At 40.9% G+C, this 19376-nt stretch overlaps 1 long non-coding RNA gene across 2 annotated transcripts; it reads right to left on the minus strand.

Moving 5' to 3' along the window:
• Positions 1-366: 366 nt before the first annotated feature.
• Positions 367-19054, minus strand: LOC101927602 (uncharacterized). 2 transcript variants are annotated; one of them, XR_246689.4, is made up of 4 exons: positions 18861-19054; positions 18195-18378; positions 3622-3772; positions 367-742 (listed from the first exon to the last, which is right to left on the minus strand). It is a non-coding gene; the product is annotated as an uncharacterized LOC101927602 (long non-coding RNA). The 2 variants fall into 2 exon arrangements; XR_001746690.1 differs by lacking the exons at positions 367-742; positions 3622-3772 and adding an exon at positions 17954-18034.
• Positions 19055-19376: the final 322 nt, after the last annotated feature.

Consider the following 19376-nt stretch of genomic DNA (forward strand, 5'->3'; position numbering starts at 1 on the left):
CAAAACCACAAGAACAATCTGTGATCCATGCTTTTTCCGAAGAGGGCCTGCGAATTTTAGTATTTAATGGGAAAGAGCAGGCAGTAGGAGAAAGAGGAAGAAAAGAAAAAAGGGGGAGGGTAGATAAAAGGGGCAGGCAGTTGCATTCTGTTGAGTCTTTGATCAGTGTGCACTGAATCCACATTTCACATGTCAAAGGAAGGGGTAGAGAAATAGTCAATTATGCATTCATCTCACACTCAGTGAATCTGCATTTTTACATAAGATAAAATAAACATAAAGTAGAGGAAGTAATCAGATATGCATTTGTGAACCCAGAAAATCTGAGACAGGTCTCAGTTAATTTAGAAAGTTTATTTTGCCAAGGTTGAGGACGCATCCATGACACAGCCTCAGGAGGTCCTGATAGCATGTGCCCAAGGCAGTTGGGGCACAGCTTGATTTTTACATTTAGGGAGACATGAGACATCAATCAATAGATATAAGAAGTACATTGGTTGGGTCTGGAAAGGCAGAACAACTGGAAGCAAAGGCAGGAAGACTCAAAGCTGGGAGGGAGCTTCCAGGTCACAGATAGGTGAGACACAAACAGTTACATTCTTTTCAGTTTCTGATTAGCCTTTCCAAAGGAAGTAATCAGATATGACTCCTTTGGTGCCGGGCGGCGGGTGGGGGGCGCTTTTAGTTCTATCCTTTGTCCTTTGTTCCGGGATCTGTGAAGATAGCTGTTCTCTTGCATTTTCTGGGTGAAATTCAACAGAACTGTTTTAGGGTAAAGATCTTGGGACCCACAAAGAATTTCGTTTTGAGCAAATTGTGAGAGAGGCATGTACCCTTTTAGATCTGTAGCTGTCTTATTTAGGAACAAAATGGGAGGCTGGTTGGCATGACCCAGTTCTCAGCTTGACTGTTCCCTTCAGCTTAGTGAGTTTGGGGTCCAGAGATTTTATGTTCCTTTTACAGCACCCAGGAGGAACTGAGCATAAGCCTATTTCTCACAGCTTTGAGGAGCACTAACTGAAGTGCTCAGTTAGCAGCATTTGAATTAATTATTTCACAGCTCATCCTTAACCAAATTATTTTTTAAATGATTCTAAAACTGGAGTTTTACCTTAAGCTTAGTATTTTGAGGTAATCTTAGCAGCAGGTGGACCTTAGCTCACTAAGAGCATGAGAGCTCTTAGTCACCTCACTCATCAGTGGCTTGGCTCCTCTTTCAGAAGGCATAAAGAACCTCATCCATCAGTGCCCACATACTCCTGTAAGCGCAGGCCCCTGTTCTTTGCTTCTGGGAAGCATCCATCTGGTCCTGTATTGCTGTCGTTCCTTTTCTGTCTGTTTTCCTATGCAAACCAATCTATCATTCTATTTTGTTGCCCCATTTCCAAGTCACTTGACCAGATGGATAACCACATAAAAATGGCTAAATAATTTAAGCTTAAAAATTAGGAGCAGGAAATAATGTAAACTGGAATAGTAAGAAAATGCTGAAGGTGAGACTTGTGGAGGGCTGGCATTGTGGACGTCTTTAAGATATAAGACTTTATTATAACAGTCAAAGCAAAGGGGACACGTAATTAATACAAGACTTTTTATCAAAGAGGAAAAGCTGTCATTTTCTCAGGAATCTAATACTATTCTAAGACTTAGGTTTAAAATGTATCAGGAGTGCCTTCTAAGTGACTGTGGAAAGGGGGAAATAGTAACTATATATTTTGAATGAGTGATTCTAGATCGTGGCTTCTATTTTATGCCTACTCTTCTCCCCTTGTCTCTTGTAAACTCACTTACAACCAGATCATAATAATAAAACTAGAATGCAGAGTGGCCATACAGTACAGTGACTAAGCACGCCAGCTCTGAAGCCAGACCTTTTGGTTGGGATCTCAATACTGTTAATTTCCTCATTTGAAAGACCAGGGTAATATAATCCTTCAAGAGAGGGTTGTTATTAGGGTGGACCTGATAAATAGGGTGGACCATATAATTTGTCATACAGATGGATGCTTTAGAAAGTGCGATAATGTTTACTTGTCAAATTATTATCATGCTATTTTGACTATATTTTCTTATATGCTTTACTTGGAATATTTAAATTAGCCCATATGTAACTAGAGTCTAAAATCCATAGTTCAGGGAAATTGTGGTTGTATTTTGTCCCTTTAAAAAACACAGGGGCATTGGTGCCTAAATCATTGACCCCTGCAAAATGCAACAGGTTGCGTGGAAGTGAAACATAATGCCTCCAACCTGCTAGTTATTTACACATGTTGACCTAAGGAACACACAAGCCAGATATTCTTTAGGTTGTCTCTTTTTATTGTTAGACCACTGAATGGCAAAGTACTTGGTCTGCATTAGATTTATTTACTGTTAAAAGATTTTCAAGAAACTACAATTTAATAACATGTCCTTGATTTTTTTTCACGAGTTGAAATAATAAATATACAGTATCTATTCATCTATCCTGGAAAGTCCCTGATAAAAGCACTGCGTTTTCTTAATCAGTTTCCTTTTCTGCAGAATAAATTTCTGTTATGCTTCTTAATCAGCAAAATGACAAACAAATTAAGAAATAACCTCAAACTTAACAAAACAGAACAAAGTCTTCCCTGAAGGTCTTGGAGAACCACATGAGATCAGATCACAACCCAAGGTCTGCCCTGAGAAATGGGGAAAGCCAGGGACCTGCCACACCTCCCTTCCTCTTGTCTAATCGGAGAAGAGAAACTAAACTTAATTTTCATGATCTTACTATGTTAGCCTCATACGTAATCATCTTCTCTTTTGTCTAAATGGTTCCCTATTTTCACCTTATACTTAACTATCATATATAGGGCATATGAATACATTTATCTCAGATCCCATTCAGAAGTTGTAAAGGAATACATTATTAATAAATCAAATATTTCTACATTACATGGAAGAAAGTGTGGAACAGTTAAGAGGATGGGTACTGGTCCCAAAGAGTCCAGAGTTTAAACCCTTACTCTATATTATCTACATGATCTGCGCATGTCGCTTATTTTTAATGAGTTTTAGTTTCCTCATTTGCACACAGCGTGACACTTGTCCCAAAGGATTGAACTGAGGATTTAGTAAGATAACAGGTGTAGAGGGTGTCTTCACAGTGCTGGGCTCGTGTCAGGCCCTCGATAAATATTAATTCAATTCCCCTTCTCCTGCCCTACTACCATCCTTCGGCTCAGAGCAGCCAAAAGCTGGAAAAATAGGCTCCACCCAGAAACTGTAACAAGATAACGATAAAGCACAGTTGGACGGATCAGGGGTAATCTACTGAGTTATCCCTGTTTTAAACCACTGTGTTTGCTTCTGTGCGTAGGAGAATCACCCCATGCTGAAGGGCAAGTGGAACATTTGCACAGTTGCCCTTGGGAACATGAAGAACAACCGTTCCCTTAGCCAAGCCTAGGGCAGTGTGGAGATGAGGGGCACATGGGACGCAGGTCCCTCTGCTACAAGCTTGACTGCCATCGGAAGCTGGGAGACACCAAAGGGTGGCCCCAGGGGCTCTCTGTCATCTTATGGTGACTCAAAAAATGCACATTCCTGCATTGATAACAATGGGTATTTTTATTACATGAAAATCTATGTACTTACTATTTGTGTTCTTCCCAACATTCAACTGACTTTTCTACCTGATGCAAAATGCAGGAGGGCTGTTCACTTCTTCCTCTCTTCCTCTTCTCCTCCTATTCTTCCTCTTTCTTCTCCTTCCTTCCTCCTTCCCCTCCTACTGATGTTTTTATTTCTATCAACAAAAATGAGAAAAATCACTTTCAGTTACAAAGTAAGTCTGAAACTATATCAAAATAATTTAGATCTTTAGTAGATTGAGAAAAAACACACAAACTTTTTCAACTTGCAGGAATAAAAATGTCAAGATTATTAACTCTTCTTTATTTTTAGTGAACTATAAAACGGTTTATTGATAATTTCTGTTGAGCAAGATGACTTCAGAGTTTATATCATCTAGGCCTTAAGATTTACTAGAATTTTAATGTATCATTCTAAAGATGTGCTCACAGAATACCCCTCAGTGTTGCTTGACCGATAAAGGTACACGCTACAAACACATGGAGAAAAACGTGCAGAGCTATTCGTGCAAGAAATTAGTGGCCATTTAAATTCCTCACTTACCAACAAAATAATAGATTCCTTCATCCTAAAGAGTGCAAGTGTATTTTAGGTCCATGCCATAAATATTTAAAACTATCTCATCTTACTGAAAATTTATATAACACATGACCTTTGCAAAATTGCAACCTTTATTCTTCAAGCAAAACTTGGTTTCTGCTGGTCACCACAATGTGCTTCTTTTGGACACCATGTATAACTGAGATTGAATTGTAACTGTTAGCAGTGGAGAAAGCCTGCGGCAAATCAACTCAATTGAATTTTGTGTTCATGGATGCTTTGAGTTTTACGGAGTCTTATATTCCATTTTCAAGTGCATCATTCAGGACACAGGCCCATTTTCCATATCCCAGATCACCCAACCAGTCCAGGGCTATTTCAGAAACTTTCCTGAGCATATAATATAGACCAACGCTAGGTTGTAAACTAAGTATAAAATTCTAAGCCCCCCAACCAACTGAACAGAAACTTCTTGGCCAAGAGGACCCCAGAGAAAACTGAAAAGCTGTTTCTGGCCCTGAAAGAAAGGGAGGTCAGACACACCTTATCATACCTCCTCTGTTTTGGAGTTTGGACTCAACAAGTAACCAGCAGCGGTGTTAAAATAGAGATCCTAAGACTGACAGAACAGACCCCGTGTGGCCATAAGATAACAAATTATGAACAAACCCTAAGGCCATGCAAGGCAGGTGTAAGTCAGGCCTGCAGGCCATCAGGCTTGCTAACCAGGGCATTTTATTGTGGCTGACTCTGACAGAGCATTCTTACCTTCCTTTCTGTCAACTCTAAGCTGTAGACAGGGCCTTACTCCTTTAACCAATCACAAACCAGAGAATCCCCAAGTCCACCTACAACCTATAAGACCTCTCCTGAAGATAATCCCCCTTTCTGAACCGAACCAGTGTATACCTTCCATGTGTTGATGTCTTTGCCCGTAACTCCTGCCTCCCTGAAATGTATAAAACCAAACCAACCCGGCCACCTCGGAACCACTTACTCAAGCCTTCTTGGTTGCGTGTTTTCTCCAGGCCTCAGTCACTCATATTGGTTCAGAATAAACCTCTTTAAAATATATTACAGTTTGTTTTATCCATTAACAAAGTCAAGCAATTAGTTCTTAGATCTGAAAATATAACTATTACTGCACTAAAATAGATTAATGAAAGAGGATATACTAGATACAGGAATATGAATAGCACAAAATGTGGCACATTTGTGGAACACAGAAAAGGGATTCTATGAGTTAGCCAGTTAAAATAACTAAGGCCATGGCCATTTCACATCCCAGGTCCAGAATTTGAAAGATCAAAGTATCTCCATAAAAAATATATATTTTCCCCTTCGTGCTTGAAGATGCAATAGGCAATGTTATAGTAAAGTCAGGAAACATGAGTCTGTCTTATTTCGTTTCGGACCCTGAGTTGGCTGTTTCACATCTTTCCACCAATTCACAGGCGTGACTTTAACTATCACTCATACCCTGTACTTTTTTTTTTTTTGAGACGGAGTCTTGCTTTGTTGCCAGGCTGGAGTGCAGTGGCGATCTTGACTCACTGCAACCTCCAACTCCCAGATTCCAGAGATTCTCCTGCCTCAGCCTCGCAAGTAGCTGGGATTACAGGTGCATGCCACCATGCCCAGCTAATTTTTGTATTTTTAATAGAGACAGGGTTTCAGCGTACTGGCCAGGATGGTCTCGATCTCCTGACCTCGTGATCCGCCCGCCTCAGCCTCCCAAAGTGCTGGAAATAAAGGAATGAGCCACCGCAACTGGCCGCCCTATTTACTTTTAAATATATATTTCTAGTCCAGACTTTTCTTCCACGCCCATACTTGAATATTCATGCATCTTCTGAATTGTTTCCACTTGGATTTTTCTCAGACACCTAAGATTCAGCCTGTCAATTCTATCCATCATTCTTCCAAATCCTCTTCCTGCCCCTGAGCTCCCCCTCCCAATGCCTAGCAGCATCATTCCCTCCTGACACTTCCTTCTTACCACCCCCCCACACCTATGCCCTCCTGCCACAATTAAGTTCTGTGAACCCATTTTCTTAAAAACTCTTTAATTCTTGAATTCATATCATCATGACTTCTCACCTTCGCTATTGTAACAAAATTTAATGATCTCCCTGCTTCTATTTTTTTGATTCCCTCTCACATTTCCTTCATAGCAATCTTTTAAAATTTAAATCTAACCCTGTCACCTTTACTTTAAAATCCCTACAAGGCTTCTTACTGCTTTCAGAGAAAAGTTTAGGCTTCTTAGTTCAGCATAGAAGACATCTGTTGGTTAAATGTTGAGTAAATTAAACTTTGAGGTTTTATTAGGTAAATTAAAATCCTTTAACCTCTAAGAACTCTAGCATCCTAGATGCAATACCAAATCCTCTATCTAGTACTTCCACCAGGGCACCTCCCTCTGCCCATATACTGACCCCATCCCAACTACTTAACAACCCATAGGTTGTCATAAAGAAAACAGAGACTGACAAGGCTTAGAGACCCTTAGAATACTTTTATAACCTCTTCATTTTCATAGTACCTTGAGTGCAAGCTGCTCCATCTGAGACACGACTCTTTAGAGATGAAGCTAATCAAATCAGTACATGTTCAGCCCCCTTGCTATCCAGCTCCTCACCATACCATAACACTCCACATGCCATAACCAGTGCCTACCCCTTCACAAGTACTTGGCAAGGGGCAAAATAAGAAGATTTTGATACCTTCTAGAGAAGACTAAAATGATCACCATGCCCAGTCAGGTTTTTCATCTGTTCTTCTGAGGGCAGCTGCAAGAGGTTGCCTAAGAGACTTTATCTGCATAGTGACAGCCTTTGTTCAGTGCAATTCCACCCCTCACCTTCCCATAACTTGTCCTGTTCAAATTCCAAAGAGAATAATTTATAAACTAATTTCTGTCTCCCAGGCCCATTCAGTTCTCCTGAAAAGCATTTTACTATTCCTCAAAATTACCTGCACACTAATCTCCCCTCTTCCCTACAAAAAGAATGCTATTTAAGCCTCAGCTGTCTGGCCCTTCTTTGAGTCTCATATTTATAGGGCTCGCATTTTCATGTACATATTAGCAAATCTGTGTGTGTTTTTCTCCTGTTAATCTATCTATTGTCAATGTATTTTGGCAGGATAACTCAGTTATCACACCTCCAGAGGAAAAGTTTAAACTTCTCTACATGTATTACTCACAATTTTTGCCATGGTCTCCTAATCATTCCAAAGTCTATGTGCCTGCATGATTCAAATAAGCTTGATTCTCTCCTTGCTTGGCACACAATGGAAAAGAATCTATAACTCATATTAATAAGTTTCATTTGTAAATGGGAATCATAGAGACCTTTAAAACCAGCCCTAAATGTGAGGCATTAGATCAATCTAGAGTCATTTGCATTCTAATAGGTCAAAGTTATCTCAATGCTGTATTAATACATTTTACCATATTTAAAGAAGAACATAAAAATGGAATTGCATTCCGATTTTTTTCATTAAAGTTAATTTAACCAAATTTCATAGCTTAAAGGCACACAATTCAACTATCTAGATGTAACAGTGAAATACAGTTTCTGAACTGCTTTGACTAGTAGACAAGATATATTTCTTAATTCCACTTTTATTTTACTTATTTAATCTTCAGGCTATACAACAGTAAGGAACAAACAATGACATTCTCATCTCAAGGCACAAGCATTTATATTATCATTCCCAGTGGGGATGTTGCAGAAGCAAGTTTTAGGTCAACAAGATTTAATTTGTTTTTACTTCTTTTGAAATCAAATCATAGGGTTTTTTAAAAATAAAATGAGAAGTATACGGAAATAAATCATATATAAAGTTATAGGTTAGACATTGAGCTCAAATGTTAAATAAGACAGAATGAGAAAATCAATTCTCCCCCAAGATTAAGAAAGGTGAGAAAAATGTACCAGCACTAGGAGGATGGTAGGGACAGGCTTCCTCCTGCTTGGTTTTATGTATTTAACAAACCTGTCTTGGCTACTATGTGCTAGACATTGATCTATGCACTTTAGAATATTAATTCACCTTTATAGAAACCAATGAAGAGGTTTAGATATTACTATTTTATCCATTTTTAAATGGGAAAAGGAAAGCCATAGAGATTAGGAGACTTTCTTCAAGTCACGTGCTTAATAAGTGGTAAGTGGCAGGGCAGGGATCAAATCCCAGGTGTCTGGCTTCAGAATTGTCTCAGCCACTGGGCCATGCTGCCTTGGTATCCCTTTATAAAATCACTAACTGGGCACAGAAAATACATCTGGGTATGGGATTTGCAAATGTTTTCTCCAAGTCAGTAGCAAGGCTTTTCATTTTTGTTTCGGTGTCTTTTGAAATCCAATTTATTAATTTGTTATTTTACAGATTGTGCTTTCGTTGCCTTAGCCAAGAAATATTTGACTAACCCGAGGTCACAGAGACTTGCTTCTGTTTCATTCTAGAAGTTTTATAGTTTTAACTTTTACATTTAGGTCTATGAACCATTCTGAGTTCATGTTTACATATAATGCAAGGTAAGGACCAAAGTTCATTTTTTTTTGTATATCTAAAAGTCCCAGTACCATTTGTCACACGGCTCTCCTTTCTCCACTGGACTGCTTTGGTGCTTTTGTTGAAAAATCTATTCTCCATATACATGGGGTTCAAGAAGTATTTTTATCACATTTTATAGGAAAATGGAGGTGTTGGTGAAAAAAGCCAAACTCTGTAGAATATTTAAAGAAGTTTATTTTGTGTTGGGAACAAGCCCCCCAAAATCTGGTCATAAACTGGCCCCAAAACTGGCCATAAACAGGATCTCTGCAGCACCGTGACATGTTCATGATGGCCATAATGCCCATGCTGGAAGGTTGTGGGTTTATGGGAATGAGGGCAAGGAACACTTGCCCCGCCCAGGGCAGAAAACCACTTAAAGGCATTCTTAAGCCACAAACAATAGCATGAGCGATCTGTGCCTTAAGGACATGCTCCTGCTGCAGTTAACTAGCCCAACCTCTTCCTTTAATTCGGCCCATCCCTTCCTTTCCCATAAGGGATTCTTTTAGTTAATTTAATATCTGTAGAAACAATGCTAATGACTGGCTTGATGTTAATAAATACGTGGGTAAATCTCTGTTCGGGGCTCTCAGCTCTGAAGGCTGTGAGACCCCTGATTTCCCACCTCTATATTTCTGTGTGTGTGTCTTTAATTCCTCTAGCTCAGCTGGGTTAGGGTCTCCCTGACCGAGCCGGTCTCAGCAATTCTGGGCCAAATATGAGTGACCATGGCTCAAGGCACAGTCTCAAGAGCTCCTGAGAACATGTGCCCAAGGGAGTCGGGCTACAGCTTGGTTTTATTATTTAGGAAGACATAAGACATCAATCAATACATGTAAGTTATACATTGGTTCGGTCCAGAAAGGCGGGACAACTCAAAGTGGCGGTGGGGGTGGGAGGTGGTTGGGGCTTACAGGTCATAGGTGGATTCAAAGGTTTTTCTGATTGGCAATTGGTTGAAAGGGTTAAGTTACCATCCAAAGGTTTAGAATCAATAGAAAGGAGTGTCTGGATTAAGATAAGGGGTTGTGGAGACTAAGGTTCTTCTTATGTAGATGAGGTCTAATAGGTGGCCACCCTTAGAGAAAAATAGATGGTAAATATTTCCTATTCAGATCTTTAAAAGGTGCTAGACCCTCAGTTAATCTCTTCAGGATTGGGAAGGCCTGGGAGGGGAAAGATCTAGCTATGTTAATAGATGTTCTTTTTTTTTTTTCTGAGACAGGGTCTCACTCTGTTGTCCAGGGTGGAGTGCGGTGGCGTGATCTCGACTCACTGCAACCTCTGCCTCCTGGGTTCAAGCAATTCTCCCACATCAACCTCCCAAGTAGCTGGGGCACCACCATGCCAGGCTAATTTCTGTATTTTTAGTAGAGACAGGGTTTCACCATGTTGGCCAGGCTGGCCTCGAACTCCCGGCCTCAAGTGATCCACCCACCTCAGCCTTCCAAAGTGTTGGGATTACAGGCCTGAGCCACTGTGCCCAGCTGGAGATTCTTTATAGATGCAAATCTTGCCCCACAAAAGATGGCTCTGCAGGGCCATTTCAAAATATGGCAAAGAGACATATTTTGGGATAAAATATTTTGATTTCCTTCTTTATCTGTCATGTAATATTATACTAGAGTTGGGTTGAAATGTGGTATCTTGTTACAAAGGTTGTGTTTTGTCAGTGTTATGATCTCTGTTTCAGTGTTAATATTGGTGGCTTGTGCCTGAACTCCTCCTGTCCTGGCCTGACCTAGCTTTTCAGGTTTCTTTGGGCCCCCTTGGCTAACAGAGGGGTCCATTTTAGTCGGTTGGAGGCTAAGAATTTTATTTTTGGTTTACAAAGATGTCAGACTATTAATTAACTCACTGAAGGTCACACAGAAACTAGACTCCCATCACATCCCAAATCCATTTTTTCTCCGTGACTTCAGCAAGCTACTGAACTCTGCTTTTCTCTTTCCTTAAATATAAGATGAGAATGAGTTCCAGTCCCTATCTACCCAGCTGTCTGACCAAGCTCATTTCTTCCCGATTTCCTATTGATTGACGTTAGACAATTCAGGCCTGTGTCCTGGTTTTCTTTTTTTAAACATGAAGCCCCCATTCCTGTACCGAAGAACCAAAGTGGACCCTGACCAGGAGGAATTGAGGCACCTTGTAGCCTTGGCCTCTCACATTGCCTTTCCAGGAATTGACCTGAGACACCACAAATGGGTTATTCAATGGGAGATGCTGAAGTAGGCCCTGGAAAAAGACTCCTGGAACCAAGGCTGCCCTTTAGGAGCCATCATGATGGAGACTCATACAAAGGAGTAATCAGAAAAGCCTCTTTGCAGAGACACTAAGAAAAAGGGGTGGCCACTTGGAGAGATGCTGAGATGAGAAACCTCAGCTCCTGGGCCTCAGTCCTCTGTTCCAAACACTTAAGAGGCTGATAGTCAGCTGTCTCCTATATGTTTATAAGTTTACTTCATTTTTTACTAGAAGTTAGTTTAAAGGAGTTACTGTCTTATGATGAAATGATCCCTGAGACGAAGGGTTTCTGCAGAGATTAAATATGTTTAAATAAGGAAATATTTAGGTTGAAAAATATAAAATTGCAGATATGTGACCATTTTTAAATAAAAATATTTAAATAAAAAAAGCAATGTCATCTGCTTTAATCTAGCATACACTGCAGTGCTTAGCATGGTACCTGAGAGCATCAGTTCCTCACTAGCCTGGCCTTGTCAGAGCTTGTCTTCATTTGAAATGTTGGTATTTTGCTCATAATGAATTTTTTGCATTCATTTTGATATTTTAATATTATGTTAACTATTTATCTTAATGACTGAATTTTTTGGTGACTTCTCAGTTTTGCACACGAGGCAAATGAGGCAGTTGCTCACCTCAGTCCTGGCCCTGACGCAGAGCTCATCATTAGCTCGTTAATAGTGTACTTGTGGTTGGGTGCGGTGGCTCACGCCTGTAATCCCAGCACTCTGGGAGGCCAAGGCGGGCGGATCATGAGGTTAGGAGATTGAGACCATCCTGGCTAACATGGTGAAACCCCATCTGTACTAAAAATACAAAAAATTAGCCGGGCGTGGTGGTGGTCGCCTGTATTCCCAGCTGCTTGGGAGGCTGAGGCAGGAGAATGGCATGAACCTGGGAATTGGAGCTTAGCTTACAGTGAGCCAAGATCACGCCACTGCACTCCAGCCTGGGTGACAGAGCAAGACTCTGTCTCAAAAAAATAAAAAAAAGTGTACGTGTTTGTTGTATTATTGAAGTTACTCATGGAAAATAACTGGATTGCAATCAACCAGTCCTTTTGTAATCAGTGTATCTGATTCATTAAAAGACAGTCTTAAAAAGTACTCCACACTCTGATGATGGAAAATTGCCCACATATCAGTACTCACACAAGATATACAATCTTTTTTTTTTTTTTTTTTTTTTTTTTGAGTTTCAAGCTGTCAAGTCGTGAAAGAAAGGATATATTTTTAGAATGTGGCTTTAGGGAGGAGTTGAAGAAGAAAAAACATTAATTTAGTGTCTGTTCCCTGCTAGGCACCGTTCAGGTAAATTACAGATGTTAACTCATTGAAACTCAGAGCTACTCTGAAAAGTGGGTGCTGTTACTCTCACTGCAGAGACAAGAAAACTGATTATAATGAATAAATCAAGATCACATAGGAAGTAAATGACAGACATGCAGTTTGATGATTTTAAATATTTTCACAACACCATGCTGTCTCTCACTTAGTTTAGAATAATTTTGTGTCACTCTAGATTATATTTTCACTTTAAAAATCCTAGGAGCCCTAGAGACTATGGTAAAACAATACCCTTTTAAATCAGCACTTTACATAATTCTGGGATTTATTTTTTATTATATTGTTCTTTTTTGAGATGGAGTCTTGCTCTGTCGCCCAGGCTGGAGTGCAAGGGCACGATCTCCACACTCTGCAACCTCTGCTTCCTGGGTTCAAGTGATTCTCCTGTCAACCTCCTGAGTGTCAGGCCTCTGAGCGCAAGCTAAGCCATCATATCCCCTGTGACCTGCACATATACATCCAGATGGCCTGAAGTAACTGAAGAATCACAAAAGAAGTGAAAATGGCCTGTTCCTGCCTTAACTGATGACATTACCTTGTGAAATTCCTTCTCCTGGCTCATCCTGGCTCAAAAGCTCCCGCACTGAGCACCTTGTGACCCCTGCCTCTGCCCGCCAGAGAGCAACCCCCTCTTGACTGTAATTTTCCTTTACCTACCTAAATCCTATAAAATGGCCCCACTCCTATCTCCCTTCGCTGACTCTCTTTTTGGACTCAGCCCGCCTGCACCCAGGTGAAATAAACAGCCTTGTTGCTCACACAAAGCTTGTTTGGTGGTCTCCTCACGTGGACACGAGTGAAACCGATAGCTGGGATTACAAGTACCCGCCACTATGCCCAGCTAATTTTTTTTATTTAGTATTTTTAGTACAGACAGGGTTTCACCATGTTGCCTAGGCTGGTCTCGAACTCCTGAGCTCAGGCAATCTACCTGCCTCAGCCTCCCAAAGTGCTGGGATTACAGGCATGAGCCACTGCCTCTGGCCTTATTTTTTAAACTGGGAGTCAATTGCCAGGCTACTGTATACCTTTGCATTTATAAGTCATAAGTGTTCATACGCAGCCATGAGGTGCTAGGAGGAAGAAGCTCTTCCACGGATTCATTCAGGCATTCACCGAACAAATATCTGAGACTTCATGCTGTGCTAGGCCCTAAGAAAATGACAGATTGCTCCTGCCCCACAGGACCTACTTACAACGTAGGGAGACACTGTGTGTTGAAATAATTTGCTGGCCACTTAGAAAAAACATTATGTTTGGACTCCTGTGTCACAACTCACCTCAAAACCAATCCTGGAAGCACATAAGAATTAATGTGAAAATTAAAACATAAAAGAGCTAGGTAAAAGTAAAAAAAAAAATCCTTGTGGCTTACATGTGGACTTTGTAGATATAATACTGAAAGCTAGAAACCATAAAGAAAATATTGTAACTTAAAAGTTCCCTTGACCACGGAGCTCTCTCACCTGAACACTAGTAAAGCACTGCGCAGATTCACAACTCATCCTGTCATTGTTTTCCTTATCAACACTAGCCCTGACAACTGTTGTAAAAACAAAACTTGTCAGCACAATTTTTAATTGCTGCAACTTTTCCATTTTGAAAATTCAGGTTCTGCTCTTCACAGTGTAGCATCAAACAGTCAGAGTTGCTGCTTACCATGATCTCACCAAGCCAAGGGGACCAAGCCTTCTTCCAACTTATTCTCCAGCCTACTGTGAAAAAAGTCATCAGGTAGCGGGAGAGAAAGTAGAGCACGTGCATTTCAAAGAACCTTAACTGGAGTCATCGGAGACTTCAGAACGTCTTGTCATGTTCTTATTTCCTCAGTAAATGCAGAATAATAAGCATGTGGCCACAAGCTTTGGCAATGAACACAGCCTAATCAAAGCTAATGCAAGTCAGGCAGGGCCTCCAAAGAGGCCCTGTCTAATCTTTGCACCGTCCTTTTAATACGTTCGAAGGGCTTCTACACATTTAACCCCAAGAAGCACAAAGGCAGGAGCCTAAATTAAGTTCAAGAAGACGTCTCAGCCACCTTGAGTGACAGGTGGGTAGAGAGCACTGGTGACACTGTTGTTCCCTCCCCAACAGCCCCACAGAAATGCAAAGCCAGTCAGATCCAACCCCGACTGCTCATCCTCCTGTCTTTTCTATCTCAGTTAATGAAATGGCCATCTACTCAAATCCTCAAGCCAGAAACTTATCATTGTTTCTCTTTCCTCTCTCCTGGTCCTCACAGCTGTTCTACCTTCTGAATACAATCCATGTCTCACCAGCTCTAAACCAGACTCTGGGCTCTGAGCCAGCATCGTCTGTAGTGGGATGTAGTGGCCCCCTGAGGAGTTTATATCCCCCAACTCCGCCTACAAACATCGAGAGTGATCTTTTGAAAATGTAAATCAGATCATATCACTCCCATGCTTCAAAGCTCTTGAAATGCTCCCCGGCCACTTTGAATGACATACAAATTCCTAGTGGTGGCCTCTAAGACTCTACATGATTTGGTCCTGACTGGGTTTCTGACCTTTGTGATCATGTAGCTATTAAGCAACACTTTAACTGATTATTTGTAGAGGTCCACAATGGATTATAGAATATTATATATAGTTGAGAACAATATTTAAAAGAATATGTAGAGAAATACACACACACAATACACACATGCATATATACGTGTATATACACCTATGATTATATTTTAGAGAATGCATATGCTCATGCCACCATAGGAAGCACACAGGACCAGCCTCCTTGTTGTCACATACTCCCCTTTACAGAAAGAGCCCCAAAACAATTGTTGCCCTCTTCTCAGGGGGCATTTCAGAATCCTTGGGAAGGATATTCACTTAAACGCTTTCCATTTTGGCAATGAATAATATCTTAAGAGGGTTAGAACACTTGTCAACGACCACTTACACATATTTTTTTCCTAAACTTCATGCTCTTCAAAATTGAGAAAAAAAAATTAAGAACTATTCTTGTCTTCAAGAAGACAAAGAATACAGTCTGCCTGAATTGTGAATTCAAAGGTATATTCTCTCATTCAAATTACTATTTCTATTGTGTAGAATTTCTCCTCTCATTCAAAAGAAAGAAATGTGAATCTTCTCATAGGGAGGGATGTGTAGCATTTATGTTCTGGAAAAATCCTCTGTGATGAGCCGCATTGTGCATGTGATGCCCACACCCTTCTCAGGATGTGAATCGCAGAGTCCATCATATCAGTGAGCCAAGAAGCTTGGGTATGTTTGCCAATGACTTAATACACAAGAGTGTGTGTTTTGGAAATTATATCTAACATAATGTTCATTTTGGAAAGCACTTACTCTGTGCCAGACAGTGTGCTGAATCTTATGCGTGAATCATCTCTTAGCTCGAGACTTTTTTTTTAAATGAGATTTATATTCTCATTTTACATGCAAGATGAATGAGCCAACTTTAGAGATTGAGCAACAGGTTCCCAGAAACAGAGCATGTACGGTCTATGCTCTGCCGCACCCATGAATTAGCATATATTGAAAACTATGTAGGGGCAACAAATGCACAGTACCCCATATAACTTGCTGGGGACCAGAACATGATACCTCCAAATATGGTGCCTTGGCAATCGAGGAAACTGCAGAACAAGAAAGTCACTCTGACCTCCTCCCACCTTTCTGTGTAAAACATAGTTATAAACGATTTCTCTGACCTTCCTCACCTGAAATTAAGTTGTAAGACCCTCACTCCATAGGAGCCCTGCCCCATTCCCAGGGGGAAGGAATGCTACTCAGAAAGGCCAAGGAGAATCTGAACAAGAGACCTTTCTAAGTTCCCCCCAGTTTATTACCATTACGTCACACCCTTTCATCCAATCATAGTTCTACATGACTGTTTATTCTATATCAAACCTAAGCATACAAGTACACGCTTTTCTCTAGATCTTCATTTCTGAAACCTCCTGTGCCATGCAAAACTTCAGTTAAATAAATTTTTATGCTTTTCTCTTGTTAATCTGTCTTTTGTTATCAAGGTGTCAGCCATGACCCTTGTGATGGGTGAGGAAAAGGTATTGCTTTTTCACCCCTACAAAACCCATAACATGTTAGCTCAGTCAGAGCCTTCCCCCTCAAAAAGTAACATGCTAATTTCTTTTAATTGGGTTCAGTTATGTTACCATAAAATATGGTACCTTGACATTTGAGGAAACTGAAGAAGAAATATCACTCTATGACTGTCCCTGATCCTCCTTCCTAAAAGCATGTCCTAAAACCTAGGATGGATTTTCTGACCTTCTCCTGAAGCAGGTCATAGGACTCTTATTTGAGAGGTTCTCCCTATACCCAGAGGAAAGGAGCATCCTTATCTCCGAAGACACAGGGACACAGAGAAGAACCTGCACAAAAGCCTTGCTAAGTTTCCTTCAGTGTGTTACCATGAGGTCTACCCACCTTGTCCAGTTATATTTCTTCATGACTGTACATCAAATGTAGCATAAGAAATACACGTTTTTTTTTGTTTGTTTGTTTGTTTGTTTATGGGATGGAGTCTTGCTCAGTCACCCAGGCTGGAGAGCAGTGGCGCGATCTCGGCTCACTGCAAGCTCCGCCTCCCGGGTTCATGCCCATTCTCCTGCCTCAGCCTCCCGAGTAGCTGGGACTACAGGCGCCCGCCACCACGCCCGGCTAATTTTTTGTATTTTTAGTAGAGACAGGGTTTCACCGTGTTAGCCAGGATGGTCTGGATCTCCTGACCTTGTGATCTGCCCACCTCGGCCTCCCAAAGTGCTGGGATTACAAGCATGAGCCACCGCGCCAGGTCAATACACAGGTTTTCTACTTCTTTAGTTCTTTATTTTTCATGAAGTCATGTCATGTAAAACTTATTAGTAGGTTTTATGCTTTTCTCTTGTCAATTTGTCTTTTGTTATAGGGGCCTCAGCCATGAACCTAGCAATGGCTGAGGAAAAGATACCTCTTTTCCCCTGCACTTTTAACTATCTATAACAGAAAAAAAAAAAAAACTCACTTTGACAAGCACACATTGAAGTCTCCCCAGAGAAGGAATCAGAGCCGTAATTTGTTTTTTCTTTTAATTTAGATTTTACTTCTATCCTAGATCAGTCCCATTCTTTCTGCTATTTCTCTGGTCCCAGACCTCTTTATTTTACCTCACAACTAGTTTACCAGCTCCCTTAAGGTGACCCATCATTAACTTTCTTTTTTAATCTTTCAGCTAGCCTATTGTCAACTACTCCCAAAGCCTGGAAAGAAGCTCTGCCCATTGTCACTCTCCTGCTCTTGATATATCTGATATTGTTTCTGATTCTGCTATTTTCTGACATGCTTATCAAAAAAGGCCTGATTTCCAAATAATGAGAAACACCGAACTAATATATTAAAACATGGAATTTGTGCAGATGCTTTATAGAGAAACAATAACATTCATAATGTCAATATTTGATGGTAAAAATGAGGACTGAGCCTGGCTCATGAGGGATGCTGGTCTATTTCTCCATTTCACTTGCGATAGCCACACTTGCTTGGTTAAGCTCTTGAACAATTTCCTTGTGAGACAGAACCTTTAAGAACGACGTAGGCTAAGATGAGAAATGGAAACCAGCCAGTTCACTGACCTTAAAGAATACGAACAAAAAACCAGAACACCTGCTTGTTCTTTGGCAGGCACAGCAGCTGTGGTACACCTCTGGCTCCTGGCCTTCCCACCCACCAGCCATCCTAAATATACAGAACACAAAATTGGGAAGGGCTATAAGCGCAGTGAGAAAACTCACTTAACTCACTTAAGGCTATCATTCTTTCTCATGTTTTTTTTTTAATACAATTTTAAAATGTTCTCTTATGTAAAATATTAAAAGGAGGAAGATATTTTATTTACCGTAAGCAGCTATTGAAGAAGAGAGAATGATTCCTTGTTAACTGGATCTTTTCCTTGAGAAACAACAGCAGTGTTTGAAGTCTCTGGCATCTTACTTGGGAGGCTGGTAATAGCTTGAATTCATCATTTCAAATAAAGTTTTCATTGAAACTAATTTTTTTGTTCATTAAACATAAATAGAATCCTATGTAAAAGGAGAAAGTATTTTGTTAAAAAATGTATCTAGTGAAAAGAATATTAAGTTATTCAATTCTGTATTCATCCATCCACCCATCCATCCATCCATGTACTCTCTGTATACATTTGCTGAGAACCTATTGTATGCTGGGCACCATGAGAGGTGTTAAGATATCGAGGTAAACAAGATGCATCTAAGTTAATATATGCTTTCATCTTTTAAAAGTCTACTTCATTCCTACCAAATATTTTTTAGCAACCCTGATGATCAAGCTGAGAAACACTGGTTTCAGACACACACACACACACACACACACACGAGACACACACACCCACACACACACCACCCCCCCACCCCCCCCGCCCCGATGTAACCCAGTGCAGACTCAGCTGCCCACAGCTTGCAAAGTCAGTAACAAGGAGGAAGTCTGTAGTGAAAGGAAAGTTACTTTGTTTCCAAAGCTAGCAGCAGGGAAGCAGGCTGCTTACCTTACGCCTCCAGAAACCTCTTAAAACTTTAGGCTGGGGAGAAAGGCTTAAAAAGGGGAAATTGGAATGGGAGGCCCGTGGGAGAGTGCATTGCACAAGGTCTGCTGTCTTGTTCTGGTGCCTATTTCAAGCTGTGGTCCACTTGAAGGGCAGGTTGCTGTCATCTCAACAATTGACGAGTTGTTGACAGCCACCTTGAGGTCATCACTGGGATTTTGCAGCGGAGTCTCCATGCTTGGTCTGTCTTTTTTTTTTTTTTTTTTTCTGAGACGGAGTCTTGCTCTGTCGCCCAGGCTGGAGTGCAGTGGCGCGATCTCGGCTCACTGCAAGCTCCGCCTCCCGGGTTCACGCCATTCTCCTGCCTCAGCCTCCCCAGTAGCTGGGACTACAGGCGCCCGCCACCACGCCCGGCTAATTTTTTGTATTTTTAGTAGAAACGGGGTTTCACCGTGTTAGCCAGGATGATCTCGATCTCCTGACCTCGTGATCCACCCACCTCGGCCTCCCAAAGTGCTG

Source organism: Homo sapiens, chromosome 9 (genome assembly GCF_000001405.40).
Source record: "Homo sapiens chromosome 9, GRCh38.p14 Primary Assembly".
Classification (NCBI taxonomy): domain Eukaryota; kingdom Metazoa; phylum Chordata; class Mammalia; order Primates; family Hominidae; genus Homo; species Homo sapiens.